This window comes from Homo sapiens, chromosome 7 (assembly GCF_000001405.40).
Source record: "Homo sapiens chromosome 7, GRCh38.p14 Primary Assembly".
Classification (NCBI taxonomy): domain Eukaryota; kingdom Metazoa; phylum Chordata; class Mammalia; order Primates; family Hominidae; genus Homo; species Homo sapiens.
This window is the reverse complement of record NC_000007.14, coordinates 97,158,229-97,178,046: the sequence shown is the minus strand read 5'-3', so window position 1 is coordinate 97,178,046 and position 19,818 is coordinate 97,158,229. Positions and strand designations below refer to the sequence as shown.

Sequence of the window (19,818 nt, the reverse complement as noted above, 5' to 3'; positions counted from 1 at the left end):
GGCCACCGAGTTTCCGTTTGGGTGAGGAAAAATCTAGAATAATGTCTCTACAATGTATCATTTACAGTGTCCAGGAAAAAAATTAAAAATTATTACAAACACAGTTAAGAGAAGAGGCAATCAATGGAGACCAGTGCCTGAGATTATTCAGACATTAGAATAAGCAGAGATAGATTTTAAAGCAGGTACTATAAATGTTAAGTATGTAAAAGAAAATACGGTCATCATAAATGGGGCAGATAAATCTCAGCAGAGAATGAGGAATTATAAGAACCAAATAAATTCTAGAACTCAAAAATGCACTATCTGGAATTTTTTAAATGTCACTTAATAGTAGACTGGAGATGAAGATTCATGAACTTGAAAATACAGCAATAGAAATTATCCAGTTTTAAACAGAACAAAACTATTTAAAAAATGAGTAAAAGATCAGTGATCTGTGAAACAATGCCAAAAGATCTACCGTAAGTTTAAGTGGAATCCAAGAAAAGAGGTTACTGCCTTAGCAGAAAAATAAATTTTAATGGGTATCTTATTTTTTTTTTGAGACGGAGTCTCGCTCTGTTGCCCAAGCTGGAGTGCAGTGGCGCGATCTCGGCTCACTACAAGCTGTGCCTCCCGGGTTCACACAATTCTCCTGCCTCAGCCTCCCCAGCAGATGGGACTACAGATGCCCACCATCACGCCCAGGTAAATTTTTTGTATTTTTAGTAGAGATGGGTTTCACTGCGTTAGCTAGGATGGTCTCAATCTCCTGACCTCATGATCCACCCGCCTCAGCCTCCCAAAGTGCTGGGATTACAGGCCTGAGCTACTGTGCCTGGCCGGATATCTTATTTTTATAAAGTTTTATGAATTTTAATGAATATTTTAAGGAAAAATAAATTCAAGAAGCTTAGCAAGTTCCAAGCAGAATACAAAATACTATACCTAAGCATATGATAGTTAAATTGTTGAAAAATAAAGCAAAAATCTTTTTTAAAAGTTTAAAAATATATATATCATTTACAAATATATGCAAATGTACAAAACATAAAAACAAGCATGGAAACAACCAACATCAGGATCCTGATTACCTCTGAGGAGTAAGAAAGGGGAATGGAATTTTAGCTGTACCTTTTAATATTTATTTACTTTAAAAAAGTGAACTAAATATTTCAAAATATTAATATTTGTTAAATCTGAGTGGTGAATACATAACTTTCCCATTTTTGAAAATTTTCATAACTTTGTGCATAATTTCAGAGAATATTTCACTTAGGGTATAATTTATAATAATTATGGGAATAATGTTTCTTATGGAAAGTAGAAATACATTTCATGTGTGAGAAATGATCAATGAATGAACATCTTGGGTAGAAAGACTCACGAAAAGGAAACAAAAAAACCCAACCTTTCGCCCGTACACCACCCATTACCGACTAGTCTTTGACTCCATGTACTTGCAACAGCATTCCTTTCCTGGCAAGAGAGAAAAATGGCCAAAATAAAAATAACTTCAGGACCACAATTTGGAGGTTTCCAGATATAGGAAGAAGCAGCAGTAAAATGTGAATTTATGACTAAGTCACCCCGCCAAGCATATCTACCTGGAGGGAAGAGACTCAGAACAGAAAAATACTACACTACACATTAACTAACAGCATCCTTTGGTTTCAAACTGTTATGCTGGCTTCTAAGAATAATGCTATCCCGAAAGTTAGAAGATTCCCTATGATTGCTCTCTTGAACCAAAGAGAATGTGCAGTGCTTCCTCAGGGTAAGTTAAGCAGCTGCTTCAAGTAGCAGAAAGCTGTCGAAGAGAGACACTTTTGAGTATGGTGAGAGCAGGTGCAGTGGGCTGAATGGTGTCCCCAAAATATGTCAAGTCCTAATCTCTGAAACTGTGTTACCTTATATGTATATTATAGGTTTTGCAAGTGTGATTGAGGATTCTGAGATGAGATTATCCTGATGGTCCTGAAAATACGGTCACAAGTATTCTTAGAGGGGATGAGATAAATTAGGCATACAGAGGAGAATGTGATATGAAGAAAAAATAAGTTTGGAGCGATATGGCCATAATTCAAGGGAATCCTGGATCCACCAGAAGCTGAAAGATGTGGATTTCTTCCCTAGAGCCTCTCACTCTTTAATTAGGCCTCTCCAGAATACACTACCATTGTTTTAAGTCAGGCTGTGGTAATTTATTACAGCAGACACAGGAAATTAATACAGCAGTGAACTACAGAAACACAGTCTTAAAGTCTCCTAGTAGAAAAAAACTAACGTTCATGCTATACTGTTTCCCACTAGAGTTTTTGAAAAGGCAGAGAAGCTGTAGTACCAGTTTGTCAGTGATAGAACAATTAAATATTATAAGGCCAGCTATGCCTTCACTGTACTCTCTAATTCTCTACCTGTATATTAAACTTGCTTATAGTCTGAATCAAATTGATACTATTAAATTACTGGTATGGTCGAGCACACTGGCTCACACCTGTAATCCCAGAGCTTTGGGAGGCCAAGGCAAGAGGACTGCTTAGTTTTTAGTAAACCAAACATCACACATTCTCACTTGTAAGTGGGAGCTAAATGATGAGAACTCACGAACACAAAGAGGGGAACAACAGACACCTACATAAGGGTGGAAGAAGGAACAGAAAAGATAACTATTGGATATTGGGCTTAATGACTAGGTGATGAACTAATCTGTACAACAAACCCCCATGACACAAGTTTACCTATGCAACAAACCTTCACATGTACCCTCAAACCTAAAATTAAAATCTAAAAAAGTGTCAGTTTAATAACATTAAGAAAACAATCAAATTATAAATTATCTTAAATTACTTCAATTTTAGAACTCATTTATCTATTATACAGATGTTTTTAAAGAATAGAAATGAACTATATTAGATTTCTTCTTACCAGCATTTAGAATCAAACTAAATAAACCATTTCAAGGAATAACATAGAGAAACAACCAGATATTACATGTCTTCTGATATTAGTACATATTACCAAAACAACAACAACAAGAAAACCAAAAACAAACAAAAAAATACACCTAGTAAGCCTCTACATCTAATTATCAATTTACAGGAAACACAAGAGACCTAAGTGTTAAACATCACCATGGGAATGCAATCAGCATGATTCAGACTATGAAAAACTACATAACAACGCCAGTCTCAGAAGTAATAAAGGAAAAATAGCAACTTTACAGTGAAGAAAGCTGAAAGATACCACCTCAATGAAATGATCAAGGTAAACATGACCAGTAGTAAGTCACACTGCCCTCATGTACCTCCCGATAATTAGGCACTGAGAGGATGTATCACCTCGGTGGTATTCTTCCCAATAATGCACAACCTCAATCTAATCATAAGAAAACATCAGATAAAGTTCAATTAAGGGACACTCTATTAAATAACTGATCAGTACCCTTCAAAAGTTTTAAGGCCATCAATGACAAGGAAAAAGGAAGGAAGGAACTATTACAGATTAGAGGAAGCTAAGGAGCTCTGATGACTAAATGTGAGGCAGGATCTTGCATCAGGCCCTGGAACAGAAAGAAACAATTCCTCTAAAAGCTGGTGAAACTGAATATACTCTGTAGTTTAATTAACAATATAATATTGCATCAATGTTAGCTTCTTAGTTTCTATAACAGTACTGTAGTTATGTAGGCTATCACAGGGGAAGTAGCTGCAGAAAGGTATAGGGAATCTGTACTATCTTTGCAACTCTCTTCTGTAACTCTAAAATTAACTCAAAGAGCTTAACAAAAGAATTTTAGATTTAACAGGTGTATTGACTAATTATAATACTTTCTTATTTGAACAAAAATGCTCACAGTGGCTCATGCCTGTAATCCCAGCATTTTGGGAAGCTGAGCTGAGTGGATCCCTTGAGGTCAGGAGTTCGAGACCAGCCTGGCCAACATGGTGAAACCCTGTCTCTAATAAAAATACAAAACTTAGCCAGTGTGGTGGCATATGCCTGTAATCCCAGCTACTCAGAAGGCTGAGGCAGGAGAATTGCTTAAAACCAGGAGTCGGAGGTTGCAGTGAGCCGAGATTGTGCCACTGCACTCCAGCCTGGTGACACAGCAAGACTCTGTCTTTAAAAAAAAAAAGAAAAAAAAGCTGCTAACAAAAACAATCAGGAAACTTTAAAAACTGACTGGATGTTTGGTATTAAGAATTATTTTGGCCAGGTGTGGTGGCTCACGCCTGTAATCCCAGCACTTTGGGAGGCAGAGGTGGGCAGATCATGAGGTCAGGAGATTGAGATCATCCTGGCTAACACAGTGAAACCTCGTCTCTACTAAAAATACAAAAAATTAGCCGGGCGTGGTGGTGGGCGCCTGTAGTCCCAGCTATTCGGGAGGCTGAGGCAGGAGACTGGCATCAACCTGGGAGGCGGAGCTTGCAGTAAGCCGAGATCGCGCCACTGCACTCCAGCCTGGGTGAGAGAGAGAGAGTGAGACTCTCATCTCAAAAAAAAAAAAAAAAATTCTAATTTTGGAGGTGACATAATAGTATGGTCATGACTTTAAAGAGTCTACGTTAAAATACCTAAGAAAAATTTTATGTTTGTGATTTAAAAATCTGGGAGAAAGAGAAATAAGTGGGGGTACAGATGAAACCTGATTGGCCATGAGTTGACAACTGTTGAAGTCGAGTGATAGGTACACAGTGGTTCATTATATTTTCTCTACATTTTATATGGTTGAGATTTCTCTAAATTAAAAAAATGCATATATACACATGCATATACATATTCATATGTAACTTAAAATTAGAAACATTCAACTAAAACTATTTCAATAACTTCTCACTTTCAACTACAGGTTTGAAATTTCTTCTCAACAAAGCTTCCCAGGTAGTGGTGCAGTCCACAGCCTGCTAGGAAGCAGGCAAGCATTGCCACCTGAGCTCTACCTCCTGTCAGGTCAGCAGTGGCATTAGATTCTTACAGGAGCATGAACCCTATTGTGAACTGCCTATGCAAAGTATCTAGGTTATGTGCACCTCATGAGAATATAATGCTTGATGATTTGAGCTTGATGATCTGAGGTGGAGCCATTTCATCCCAAAACCATCCCCTACAACCTGCAGAAAAACTGTCTTCCACAAAACCAATCCCCAAAAGGGGACCGCTTACAGTTCTTTGATAAAGCCTTGATTTACCAGTTTTTCTTCTGTTTCTAGAAATATTTCTTAAACATCTTATTATAATAATTTTTTACAATATACATTTTTAAAATCCAAGTAAGACATACCAAAATCATTTTTAAATAGGTTTCACAGTAATTTCCTCATCAAAACAGTGGGATTTCAGAACTGTCACTTTAGCACATAGCTGGTGAACCTTTATTTAATAATTCACTTTGTGTACCATTAATATTTTTATTTATAATGTAAATCATTGAAATTCCCCACAGGCTAGAACCAAAGTGGCATAAAATTCCTTATATAACTGACATACAAAAATTGAGATTGAGACTGACTGGTTCAATAAACAAATATGGGCCACAATTTAAGATTCCAATAATGAACAGTGTTGGAAGAGAATTGGATTTGAATATGGAAAGGTGATAAGAGTCACAGAAAGACAAGAACCAAGAAAACAATGGATTTTGGAGAGTTGAGGACTCTGAGTAACAGGACTATGAAGGCAGAAAAGCTACTGGACCCATTCATCCCTTAAAAAATACATGCATATAGAAAGAGGTATAACGATTGGTCACATTAACTATAGTTCATCTAGACTACAAAAGAGCATGCAATAGTTAAAAAGAACAAGGTCAAACATGTACTGACATGAAAAGCTTCCCAAGTAAAATAATCAACTTGCAAAATATCATGGATATATGCTATTTGAATATGCTACAAAACATGTACAAATTTAAACAGAGGCTGAAAGGATGGCCAGAAACTTTTGAAGAATAGTTTTTCATATTTTGTTCTGAACACCTCAACCCTGTACTGTTTTGATATTTTATAATAAATATTATTTAAGTAACTAAATGAAAGGGAAAGAAAGGAAGGAATAGCTATAGGAAAAATTTGGGGATAAGGAAATTACAGCTCCAGTATTTCATTTGTCCTTAACAGCAGAGATCAAAGCAATTTTGCAGATTGTAATTAATATAATTTGAACACAAGCTTTAAAAAAGAAAATCTAAGTTCTCATTATTTTGTTTAATCACATATCTAGTATTTGCTCATCTGTGTTTTCTAAAACAAAATTACAACTAAATGGCCCCAAAGTAATAATGATATATGAAAATCCAAACTGTCAAGCTCTGTAAATAAAGATAATTAGTTGCCTCACAAAAGGCTATTCTTATTTAGAAAAGCATGTAGCCTAGGCCTCCTTTAATACTAAAACCAAATGGTTTAAAACATTTTATGAAAATAGCATTATTAAGGTACTCATCAACTGTATAGAGTTCAAGAAAATACCAAACTATATGACATGTCCCATTAAAAACTTGACTTTTTAAATATTTTATATACAAATAATTTCCTCAATAGCATAAAAAAAGATTTTAGGTTAAATCATAAAAATGCTGTCACAATCAGAATTAGTCTGATGCCTTTCTTCTGAATTACAAAAATTATAAATTCCCTTTAAAATAGGCATAAATTGTGCTACTATTCTCACAACTTCCTGGATAGCTAAAATGACAGTAATTTTTTATAGTTTTGAAAAATTATTTGTATTCTTTAATGTAAACAACCAAAGGAAAGCCAATTATTATCTAGGAAAGAAAAAGGTAACTTTCCCCCAAAATTTATTCAATTATTATAAGATTCTCTTTAGCAACACTGAACCAACAAACCTAAGTTGGGAGCATTTGGTCAAGCTTTCCCTAGAGAACTTATTAAAAATATCATGCCTCCTAGAGGAGCAAAAACAAAAAACACTCCTCTCCACAAGAAACCTGAAAGTTACCTGAATTACAATAACTAAATTCAAAGACACTTTGGGGATTTGAAGCACATCTGCCCAAGTCATTAATACAGAATATATTATAGAAAAAGAAAAAAGAACCTATGTTGGCAATGATAATAAATTTGGTTTCTTGGGCTCATTCTGACGAGGTTTTATGATTTTCAAGTCAAAGATGATTGATAGCTTATACATGCTATTTCTTAGCCCACAAACACTTGTAATATATAACTCTTTGATATACAGAGTGCAAAGAATAGAAAGTAACACTAGTGTCACTAATAAGTCAATTTCTCAGGTGGCCATGAAGCTTAGCCTCTGTGAAGTCAAATTCCCCAGGTTCCTCTGTAAACCAAACTCAAGATTCACCTGTGACTCCCAGAGATGAGCAAAAAAAGGTGTTAGTTGTGACACAGCACAGCAAAGATAAAAAGAAAAAAAAGCAAGAACGTAGAAAGTTCTTGGCTAAGGAAGTAGTAAGGAAATGTTATAGAAAACCTAGTTCACAAATATTCTTTATATTTGTCTACTATAAACTCTATGTCCATGATATTGGACACTTACAAATCAAATGTCATAATGTCAGAAATGAGAAGTCAGCACAGAAAATAAGCACATTCTTGTTTATGAAATTCATCCCAAAGTTCCCAGAAACAATAATAGCATTGTACTTAAGGTAATATTACATAACTTATTTTACTTAATCTAAAAATGTATTCATAAAACTAATTTTAAAAATACATTTTCCTGATCATTTAGGTGAATGGACTACTTGTACATTTTATGTTTTATATATAACCTTTAATTTATTCTTTAGTAATATTAGAATACAGTGAGGCACAAGGAAACTTTCTGGAGTAATAGATTTTTGTTATCTTGAATGTGGTGACAGTTTCATGGGTGTATACATATTTCAAAACTCACCCAAGTATACACATTAATATGTGTGGTTCACTATGCATCAATGACACCACAGTAAAGCTGTTACGTTAAAAAAAAAAAACGAACTAGCCAACTCCTTACCTTACTCACTTATACCTCAATGGAGGTGAGGATGGGTTCTAGCAAAGTAGCAAGAAAATAAGTTTAACTGTAATACCTAAGGATGACAATGATCCAATTAGATAAGAATGTATATACACTACTGATTTAAAAATTGATGGGGAACAAAAAACAGCTTATAAAGCTAATATACAAAACTCAAAAAAGGCTTTTGAAAAAATTCTTCCAATTATTTTACTATCAATATTAGTCATCAAAAACAACTAAATTGTAATAGTTAAGAAAATAGAACAAAAAATTTCACTCGCAGACATTAAAAACATAAAGAGTTCAAAACTATAATTTTTTCTTTTTTTACATTTTTTATAATCAGGCTTTTTCTTTTCACTCTACAGAAAAACTGCATTTAGCAATAGATTTTTAACTACCTGTTCATCTGTAATGCAGGTTAATTCTATATTTAAAAAAATTATATAAACTAAAGGACATGATGCATTCAAATTCTATTTTGATGTAATCTGTTTAGAAAATCACCAATTTATTGAGAAAATAAAATTAGTATGTTTTATAACAAATTATTTACATTATAGCTGTCACCAAAAAAATGTATAGCAATCTGCATAATTCTTACTCTCCAAAGGAATCTATTATAACATCAAGTGAGTTACATCAAATCAAGTATTTTAAAAATTATATTTGATATATATTGAAATTGACAGTACTTTCACACAGTTCAATTTGGGGTAATACTGATCCAAAGCAGACGATCATGATATTAATACTTTTTTTTTGAGACAGTTTCGCTCTTGTTGCCCAGGCTGGAGTGCAGCGCCGCGATCTTAGCTCACTACATTCAAGTGATCCTCCTGCCTCAGCCTCCCAAGTACCTGGGATTACAGGCGCCCACCACCATGCCCAGCTAACTTTTGTATTTTTAGTAGAGGCAGGGTTTCAACACGCTGGCCAGGCTGGTCTTGAACTCCTGACCTCAAGTGATCCGTCGGCCTCCCAAAGTGCTGGGATTACAGGCATGAGCCACCGCACCCAGCCCTGAAAGGCAAATTTTAACAGAAAATTTAAATATATTCTAATGTCTTACAAGTTATCTTCTGCATTTGTTATTCTAATTAACCAAATGAAAGAGTGTAGCATTATCACAATCACATTTCACGTTACCCAGAGTCTACATATCTGTAATCAAACTAAAATATCAAACAAATAAGATAGCTTACTCACTAAAGGAGAATATAAGAATAAGTATGTAAGAAATGAACAGGATATTTATTTATAGGCTAAAAGAAAAGGGAACAAAAATTAGTTAAGTAACATAATAAAAAATGTAAAAGGCATGAAGAAAACACAAAAGCCAAGTGTATGAAACCTCTCACCTTGGAGTCAACACCTATCCCAATTACACCCCCGGTTAGCAGGAAGAAGTTAGAGCAGGTGTCACACTTTTTCCATCTTCATTAGCCCACACCTTAAGATTAAGGTGTTATAAAACCCAAAGGAAGGGATTGAAACCATCATTGCAAAATTATAACTGAGACAGTGAAAGAGATCTGACCTAACCAACTCCATCTTGCTTCTCATGTCCAAGGTATCCTTATTCATTCCTGGGCACAGGTTGAATTAACTTTGGGAGAATTTAGTTTACAGTTTTAAACAAATATAACACAATCTTTCCCAAAACAAACCCCCTTCTTGCCTGGGAACTAGACTGCTGTTGTAGGACTAACAAATTAGCCAAAAGATTATGATTTCAGACTCATGCAGCTGGAGGCTACAAGATTCTGACCCTCCCCCAAATTGCTCCTGGGGATAATATCACTGTTGTGAAACTTAAGATTGATGCAGGATTTTTTGCTCTAAGCTTAGTTCAGCTAAATCCAAGTTCTTGTCTCATGACCAGGAAAAATTAGGCACGTGAACACGTTGAAGGGTGATGAGGGCAGAATTCATTAGGCAAAAAGAGGGGGTCCCGCCAGCAAGCTCCCACCTCACAGACTGAATACCAGGGCTCCCACACATAAGCTGAAGAGACCAGGCTCCTCCCCTGCACAAAGCATGAATTCCTGGTGGCTCTACCCCATTCCCCCCAGTGCACGTGGGCCTCTAGTTCACTGTGGGCATGCCCAGGCAAGACCCTGTGCAGGTATTCCCTTATCTGCACAAAAACATCCAGTGTAAACACTTGTGGATGGATCAGAGATTCACTAGGGACCCTTCCCTATCTACCTAGGCATTTGTCTGCCTCCTGCCTCTGTCAAGATCAGTGCTTGTTTTGCAGCCCCTGCACTTGGATCAGCTAGCACCACCCAGATCGATAAACTGGCTCATCTGATCTGTGGGCCCCCCACCCAGTGCAAGAGGATAGCTTCAACTCTGTATGATTTTATCTCTGACCCCACCAATCGGCACTCTAGACTCACTGTCCCCCACCCACCAAATTTTCCTTAAAAACCCTGATCCCAAATGCTTGGAGAGATTGATTTGAATAATAATAAACTAATCTCCTGTACAGCCGACTATGTGTGAATTACTCTTTCTCTATGGCAATTCCCGTTTTGATAAATTGGCTCTGTCTAGGCAGCAGGCCTGGTGAACACATTGAGTAGTGTATTAGTCTGTTCTCACACTTCTCTATTAAAAAAACTACCTGAGACTGGGTAATTTTTGAAGAAAAGAGGTTTCTTTGACTCACAGTTTGGTAGCCTTAACAGGAAACATGACTGGGAGGCCTCAGGAAATGTACAATCATAGCAGAAGATGAACAAAAAGCGAGCACCTTTTTCACATAGCAGCAGGAGAGAGAGCCAAGGGGGGAAGTGCTACACACTTTTAAACCATCAGATCTTGTGAGAACTCACTATCGTGAGAACAGCAAGGGGGAAATCTGCCCCATAATCCAGTCACCTCCCACCAGGCCCCTCCTCCAATTTGACATGAGATTTGGGTGGGGACACACATCCAAACCATATCAGGTGGTTACACGTAAATCCACCCTAACACACTCCTCTTTAACTGCCTTGGCATGAAAAGAAAAAAAAAAAAATCACTGAAAGTTGTAAAATTTTATCAAGCATTGTCAAGAAAGAAAGTGCCTAGATCAGTCAAATTAGTATTTTGATGCCCTGAGTGAGACACTATAGTGGAAAAAGTACATAAAATCCATTTTAAGTTTAGTCATAAAATCCATTATGCATTGTTCTATGCTGAATTAATAACTTTTAGACAGCAATTATTATTTCTACTATTCTATAAGGTCCTTCATCTGGCTCCTTATTTCACCAGCATCATTACAAACTACCTATAATTCCTGTAAACCTAAAATAAAATTCTAAGCCCCCCCCGCCAACTAACTGGCCCCTTCTCTTGGCCAAGGGCATTCTAAAGTAAACCTGAAATATTAGTTCAGGCCATGATGGGAAAGGGTGGTCAGACATGCCTGATCATACCTTCTTCCTTTTGGAATTCAGGCACAGCTGACCAGCATTAACATTAAAACAGAAACCTTAAAACTAACAGAACAGACTCAGTAAGTCTTACAATCTGTTCTCTCCAAAAGCTACTATCAGGAGACTTCATCTGCATAACAAGAACCTTCCTCTCCACAACCCCTTATCTTAACCCGGACACTCCCTTTTATTGATTTCAGGTCTTTAAACTCTTTCAACCAATTGCCCATCAGAAAATCTTTGAATTCCCCCTATGACCTGGAACTCCCACCCTCCCCAATTTGAGTTCTTCCCGCTTTCCAGACTGAACCAATGTACATCTTACATGTATTTACTGATGTCTTATGTCCCCTAAAATGTATAAAGCAAGCTGTTGCCCAACCACCTAGGGCATATGATGTCAGGACCTCCTGAGGCTGTGTCACGAGCATGTCCTTAACTTTGACAAAAAACTACTAAGTTAATTGGTTTAGACTTGTCTCAGATAGTTTCTGGTTTACATTCCCAAATATTCTATACCCATCCATGCATCAGCAGCCATATATTCTATTTGGAATGTCCTTATTTACTTCATGGAACAAGATGTCAAGACTCAGTTCAAATGTCATATTGTTGAGGACACCTGTACCCCTGCCCCAGGTTTGCCTCTATGCTCTCTTGGCAATTTGTACAAAGTTTTTTTATAGCAGACTTCTTACTGTTGATGTTGACAGCAAAGTCCTCAAGACACAGGATCATGCCAAGACACCCACATCCCTTCACTGTCTAGCAATACCAGGCATTGATACACATTTATTAAAGAAAAAAGGAAAAGAATAAAATGTGTAAACTGTACTGACCAGCTAAAACCTGTATTCACAATTCACCTGACAAATTCTGTTTTACAAGGCAAACTGCCAACTTAGCCTTGCACTCTGCATATTAACCTCTTCAGTTTCACAAAAACACATAGAACTTGAACAAATTTGAATGGATGAGCTTGCAAATCTAAATATCAGAATTCAGACCGAGGTTTATCCCAAGAAAATGAGGATACTCAGTGAGGATTAGTATAAACATGATTATTTGGAGGTGTTTCTCCTTTACACCATTTTACAAAATCTCACCTAGTCATTTAAATTCTTCAATCACAAAAAAAGTATTATTAAAAAGGCAGCAAAGTCCATTTAATTCCACATTTGAAAGTCAAATGTTGATTTTCAAATAAATACCCATAAAAAACATGCTAATGGAATGCTAACTGGTAACCAAAATAAAAACAAGCAAAAAAAAAAAAAAAAAAAAGGTAGGAAAATCCTTTGAGATACCTTAATTGATGTGAAGTCAAGAAATTTATTTTATTTTATATTTTCTTTGAGACGGAGTCTTGCTCTGTTGCCCAGACTGGAGTGCAGTGGCACGATCTCGGCTCACTGCAAGCTCCGCCTCCTGGGTTCACGCCATTCTCCTGCCTCAGCCTCCCGAGTAGCTGGGACTACAGGTGCCCGCCACCACACCTGGCTAATTTTTTTGTATTTTTTTAGTAGAGATGGGGTTTCACCAAGTTAGCCAGGATGGTCTTGATCTCCTGACCTCGTGATCTGCCCACCTCAGCCTCCCAAAGTGCTAGGGATTTAATCTTTTAAAGAGTGAGTTATATTCAAAGAACTCCAAGCTATTGTTTTCCATTACAATTTCATCACAGCCATGACACATTATTTCAAACTATATTCCCTAATAGGTTTATCTTGCCATCTTTCCTATAGTTTCAGTTCACTATGTAATTTTGTTTATATAATAATATGTTGCTTCAGTATGATGCAAATTATGGAAATTATGTTAGTCTATCATCCCTCCATCCCCACATTGGTAGATCAGTTTCACTTCAAATCTCCACCACTAGTTATTCACTGTGTGTGTGATGAATTCACGCAACTCAAGATGACTTAGGGCATAAATGTCATAGCTATATAAAAGAACTATGAACCGGAAAGGCACGCTGGCTCACACCTGTAATCCCAGCACTTTGGGAGGCCGAGAGGGGTGGATCACCTAGGGTCAGGAGTTCAAGACCAGCCTGATCAACATGGAGAAACCCATCTCTACTAAAAATACAAAATTGGCCGGGTGTTGTGGCGCACACCTATAATCTCAGCTACTCAGGAGGTAGAGGCAGGAGAATCGCTTTAATCCGGGAGGTTGTGGTGAGCCGAGATTGCGCCATTGCACTCCAGCCTGGGCAACAAGAGTGAAACTCTGTCTGAAAAAAAAAAAAAAAAAGAACTATGAACCAATACACCTTTAGTTTAGAGATAATAATTACCTTGCCACCATACAATCTGTTGAATAAGCAGGAGGCCATAAGCCTGATTTTGTCACCGCACTCCAGCCTGGGTGACAGAGTGAGACTCCGTCTCCAAAAAAAAAAAGAGGCCAGGCGCGGTGGCTTGTGCCTGTGATCCCAGCACTTTGGGAGGCTGAGGAGGGAGAGGAGATCGAGACCGTCTTGGCCAACATGGTGAAACCTCGTCTCTACTAAAATATAAAAAAAACAGCCAGGCATGGTGGCACGTGCCTATAATCCCAGCTACTTGGGAGGCTGAGGGGGAATCGCTTGAACCTGGGAGGCAGAGGTTGCAGTGACCTGCGATCGCGCCACTGCATTCCAGCCTGGCAACAGAGCAAGACTGTGTCTCAAAAAAAAAAAAAAAGAATTTTCAACCCAAAATTTCATATACAGCCAAACTAAACTTCGTAAGTGGAGGAGAAATAAAATCCTTACAGACAACCAAATGCTGAGAGATTTTGTCACCACCAGGCCTGCTTTACAAGAGCTCTCGAAGGAAGCACTAAACATGGAAAGGAAACAATTGGTACCAGTCACTGCAAAAACATACCAAATTGTAAAGAACATCAACACTATGAAGAAACTGCATCAATTAACAGGCAAAATAACCAGCTAGCATAATAATGACAGGATCAAATTCACACATAAATATATTAACCTCAAATGTTAATGGGCTAAATGGCCCAGTTAAAAGACACAGACTGGCAAACTGGATAAAGAGTCAAGGCTCATCAATGTGCTGTATTCAGGAAATCCATCTCACGTGCAAGGACACACATAAGCTCAAAATAAAGGGATGGAAGAATATTTACCAAGGAAATGGAAAGCAAAAAAAAGCAGGAGTTGCAATCTTTATCTCTTATAAAACAGACTATAGGCCAGGCGCAGTGGCTCACGCCTCTTATCCTAGCACTTTGGGAGGCCAAGGCAGGCAGATCACAAGATCAGGAGTTCAAGACCAGCCTGGCCAATAGGGTGAAACCCTGTCTCTACTAAAAACACAAAAATTAGCTGGGCATGGTGGCGGGTGCCTGTAATCCCAGCTACTTGGGAGGCTGAGGCAGGAGAATCACTTGAAACCGGAAGGCTGAGGTTGCAGTGAGCCGAGATTTCACTGCACTAAAAATTAAAAAAAAAAAAAAAAAAAGGACTTTAAACCAACAAAGGTCAAAAGAGACAAAGAAGGGCATTACATAATGGTAAAGGGATCAATGCAGCAAGAAGAGCTATCTTAAATATATATGCACCCAAATTCATAAAACAAGTTCTCAAGAGACCTACAAAGAGACTTAGACTCCCACACAATGATAGTGGGAGACTTTAACACCCCACTGTCAATACTGGACAGATAAATGAAACAGAAAATAAACAAGGATATTCAGGAGTTGAACTCAGCTCTGCACCAAGAGGATCTAATAAATATCTACAGAACTCTCCACCCCAAATCAACAGAATATACATTCTTCACAGCACCTCATCGCAATTATTCTAAAATTGACCACATAATTGGAAGTAAAACACTCCTCAGTAAATGCAAAAGAATGGAAATCATAACAAACAGTCTCTCAGACCACAGTGCAATCAAATTAGAACTGAGGATTAAGAAACTCACCCAAAATCGCACAACTACATGGAAACTGAACAACTTGCTCCTGAATGACTACTGGGTAAATAACAAAATGAAGCCAGAAATAAATATGTTCTTCGAAACCAATGAGAACAAAGACACAATGTACCAGAATCTCTGGGACACATTTAAAGCAGTGTGTAGAGGGAAATTTATGGCACTAAATGCCCACAAGAGAAAGCAGGAAAGATCTAAAATTGACACCCTATTATCAAAATTAAAAGAATTAGAGAACTAGAGAAGCAAGAGGAAACAAATTCAAAATCTAGCAGAAGATAAGAAATAACTAAGATCAGAGCAGAACTGAAGGAGATAGAGACACAAAAACCCTTCAAAAAAAATCAATGAAGCCAGGAGCTGGCTAATATCCAGAATCTACAAAGAACTTAAACAAATTTATAAGAAAAAAACAACCCCATCAAAAAAATGGGCAAAGGATATGAACACACACTTCTCAAAAGATGACATTTATGCGGCCAACATATGAAAAAAAGCTCATCATCACTGGTCATTAGGGAAATGCAAATCAAAACCACAATGAGATACCATCTCACTCCAGTTAGAATGGCGATGATTAAAAAGTCAGGAAACAACAGATGCTGAAGAGGATGTGGAGAAATAGGAACACTTTTACACTGTTGGTGAGAGTGTAAATTAGTTCAACCATTGTGGAAGACAGTGTGGCAATTCCTCAAGGATCTAGAACTAGAAATACCATTTGACTCACCAATCCCATTACTGGATATATACCCAAAGGATTATAAATCATTCTACTATAAAGACACATGCACATGTATGTTTACTGCATCACTATTCACAATAGCAAGACTTGGAACCAACCCAAATGTCCATTGATGATACACTGGATAAAGAAAATGTGGCACATACCACCATGGAATACTATGCATCCATAAAAAAGGATGAGTTTATGTCCTTCGCAGGGGCATGGATGAAGCTGGAAACCATCATTCTCAGCAAACTATCACAAGAACAGAAAACCAAACACCACATGTTCTCACTCATAAGTGGGAGATGAACAAGGAGAATATATGTACACAGGGAGGGGAACAGCACACACCAGGGCCTGTCAGAGGGTGAGGGGGGCTAGGGGAGGGATAGCATTAGGAGAAATACCTAATGTAGGTGACGGGTTGATGGGTGCAGCAAAGCACCATGGCACGTGTATACCTATGTAACAAAACTGCACATTCTGCACATGTACCCCAGAACTTAAAGTATAATAAAATGAATAATAAGAAACCAGCAGAGAAACTTACTGTTGTAATCATTCTTTGTGTAATCCCAACCAAACAGCAGCTAATTGTGAAGTCGAGTCCCATAGACTATATAGATGCTTGCTGACTTATGATGGGGTAGTGTCCTGACAAACCCACTGTAAGGTAAAAATACTAATAGAGGAAAATAATTTAACACACTTAACCTACCCAAGATCATAGCTTAGCCTATCCTACCTTAAACATGCTCAGAACACTCACATTAGCCTACAGACAGGCAAAATAAACACTGGCAACACAGTACACTGTAGAGTACTGTGACTGAGTGGCTGATTGGGACCCAGCCACTGCCCAGCATCACAAAAGGCTATTGCACTGTATGTCGCTAGCCTAGAAAAAGATCACAATGCAAAGCACAGTTTCTACTAAATGTGTTTCACTTTTGCATCCCTGTAAAAGTAAAAATATTTTAAGTCCAACCATCGTTAAGTGGGGGACCATCTGTACTTTTTTTTTTTAAGAGATGACAAAGAAACTGAAACAAGTAGAAATTAATGTTTGTTTATATTAAATTCCAAAAAATAATTTTCCTACTTAAAAAAGAAAAAGAAAAGTCTTATTGTGCCTACACTGACTGTTCTCCAAAGCTCAGGCTTCAGCAGCCATTTGTCATTCCTTCCACCAATACACCTCTATGTTCCAGAGCTTCAGCATTGCCAAATTCAAAACCTAATCTCAAGTCTGACCACCTCTGCCTTTCACCACAGTCACATATTTACAACCGCTTACAGCGCATCTCCATTTGGACACTTTTCCATTGGCCTATTCTTTTTTTTCTTTTGGGGGTCGGGGGGTAAGGTTGTAGATTAACAGCATCCCAAGGCAGAAGAATTTTTCTTAGTACAGAACAAAATGGAGTCTCCTATGTCTACTTCTTTCTACATAGACACAGTAACAATCTGATCTCTCTTTCTTTTCCCCACATTTCCCCCTTTTCTTTTTGACAAAACCGCCATCGTCGTCATGGCCCGTTCTCGATGGTCGCTGTCTCTTCAGAGCTATTGGGTACACCTCCCAGATGGGGCGGCCGGGCAGAGGCGCTCCTCACTTCCCAGATGGGGCGGCTGGGCAGAGGCGCTCCTCACTTCCCAGATGGGGTGGCCGGGCAGAGGCGCTCCTCACTTCCCAGACAGGGCGGCCGGGCAGGGGCGCTCCTCACTTCCCAGACGATGGGCGGCCGGGCAGGGGCGCTCCTCACTTCCCAGACGATGGGTGGCCGGGCAGGGGCGCTACTCACCTCCCAGACGGGGCGGCCGGGCAGAGACACTCCTCACCTCCCAGATGGGACGGCCGGGCAGAGGCGCTCCTCACTTCCCAGATAGGGCAGCCGGGCAGAGGCGCTCCTCACCTCCCAGACGAAGGGTGGCCATTGGCCTATTGTTAACAAATCCTTGTCATTATCTTTCCTTTCCTAATGTCATCAGGATAGCACCATCCTCAGACAAAAATCATAGAATCAGATGGCAGCAAATATGGCGGAGTAGAGAACACCAATGGTCTAACCCTCCAAAAAGCAACAAATACACTGGCAAATACTGTCAGAACCAACCTTCTCGAAACTCCCGAAACTAATGGAAAGCTTACAGCAATCAGGTAAATGTTTAGTCAAGAAAAAAAGAACTAAATCTCAGTAGGACAGTTTCGTGGCTTTTTAACTCACTCTTATCTACTTCCATGTTCCCCAGATGACCAGTGGCCTTGAAGACATCAGCCCACACTCCTGGTAGACATACTCAGTACCAGAGGGAACTGAATAGGCCTTATTCTTTAATAAAAAGAAAAAAAAAATTGGGGTTGTTTGTTATGACTTATTTGGTGATTTCCTGGAGGACAAGCTCAAAGGGACTGCCTTTCTCTTGCTTGACTTAGAACTCTCCCTGTGCTGAGGGGGCTATTTGGGAAACTTCAACAAAAATATGTAAAGCAAATGTTAGTCAGTGCTGCCTGGGGCAAGGGATATTGGGGGAAAACAACAGACTAACCAAAAAACTTGGGAGGAAAGTCTGGTGAATGTGATGCTCTGGTGAATAAAGCTTTGAAAAGCACCCACATATTTCTGGAAATCTAAAAGGTCATACACATGGCTACAAGTCTAAAATGTTAAGGAAGTTTAGATTCTAGCATCACTGCTTAGAGGAGATTACCCCCAGGAGAGCTGCCTCAACAGGAACATCTACAAACTATGTTTTAAGAACAAGACATACATTTTTATCATATTAAGCCACTAAGACTTTGGAATTATTTGTTATAGAGGCTGGCACTAATTATGTGAATAATACAGACTTGAAGGAATCTAAAAGACGTGTATGCCATTTTGCTGGAAAATAATAGAGAACTTATTTAAATAAAAATGTGTAACTTTATACTATGTTCTGTTCAATTAGAATCTCAGCAAGTATACTTTCCTTATACCATTGAATTGCTAACAGTAAACAGAAAAAAGAAAAAAACAGGTTGTTTACACGTGTATACATTTTTCAATAATTTACATTGAGCCTTACACTGTAACAATTTTAAAGCTTCATGAATCAAATTTTTATAAGTTGAAGTATTTTTAAATTAACTACAGAATGAAATAGTTTGTTCCTAAAAAGTTAGCTAAAGTTAAAAATCTCCTGTTAGTCCTATTTTATCACAGTTTAAGGTCATAGTCCATACACTGGGTTTCTTATAGTGATCCTGGTCTATATTATTTTTTAATTATTTTTTCCAATGACACTGGTCATGCATCTTTCCATTTCAAAGAATTACTCATAAACATGGGGAAACTCGCTGGGTGCAGTGGCTCACATCTGTAATCCCAGCACTTTGAGAGGCTGAGGCGGGTAGATCACCTGAGGTGAGTTTGAGACCAGCCTGGCCAACATGGTGAAACCCCGTCTCTATTAAAAATACAAAAATTAGCTAGCGTGGTGGCAGGCACCTGTAATCCTAGCTACTCAGGAGGCTGGGGCATGAGAATCGCTTGAACCCGGGAGACAGAGGTTGCAATGAGCCGAGATTGTGCCACTGCACTCCAGCCTGGGCAACAGAGTGAGACTTTGTCTCAAACAAACAAACAAAAACACGGGGAAACTAAGATGTTTATAGGATCAGAAGAAATGGAAACATTAAACAACAAAAAAAGGTTCATGGGTAAAAGCTTTCATATTCTATATTCGTGGA

General features: G+C 38.2%; 1 protein-coding gene and 1 long non-coding RNA gene across 2 annotated transcripts in view; one reads left to right on the top strand and one right to left on the bottom strand.

The window, feature by feature from the left end:
* Positions 1-584, top strand: part of LOC124901704 (uncharacterized) — a 95,125-nt gene extending 94,541 nt beyond the window's left edge. The window contains exon 3 of the long non-coding RNA XR_007060445.1: positions 549-584. This is a non-coding gene — a long non-coding RNA (uncharacterized LOC124901704). The remainder of the gene's footprint in view (positions 1-548) is intronic.
* Positions 1-19,818, bottom strand: part of SDHAF3 (succinate dehydrogenase complex assembly factor 3) — a 64,066-nt gene that overhangs the window by 3,717 nt on the left and 40,531 nt on the right. The gene's annotated exons all lie outside the window — the stretch shown is intronic.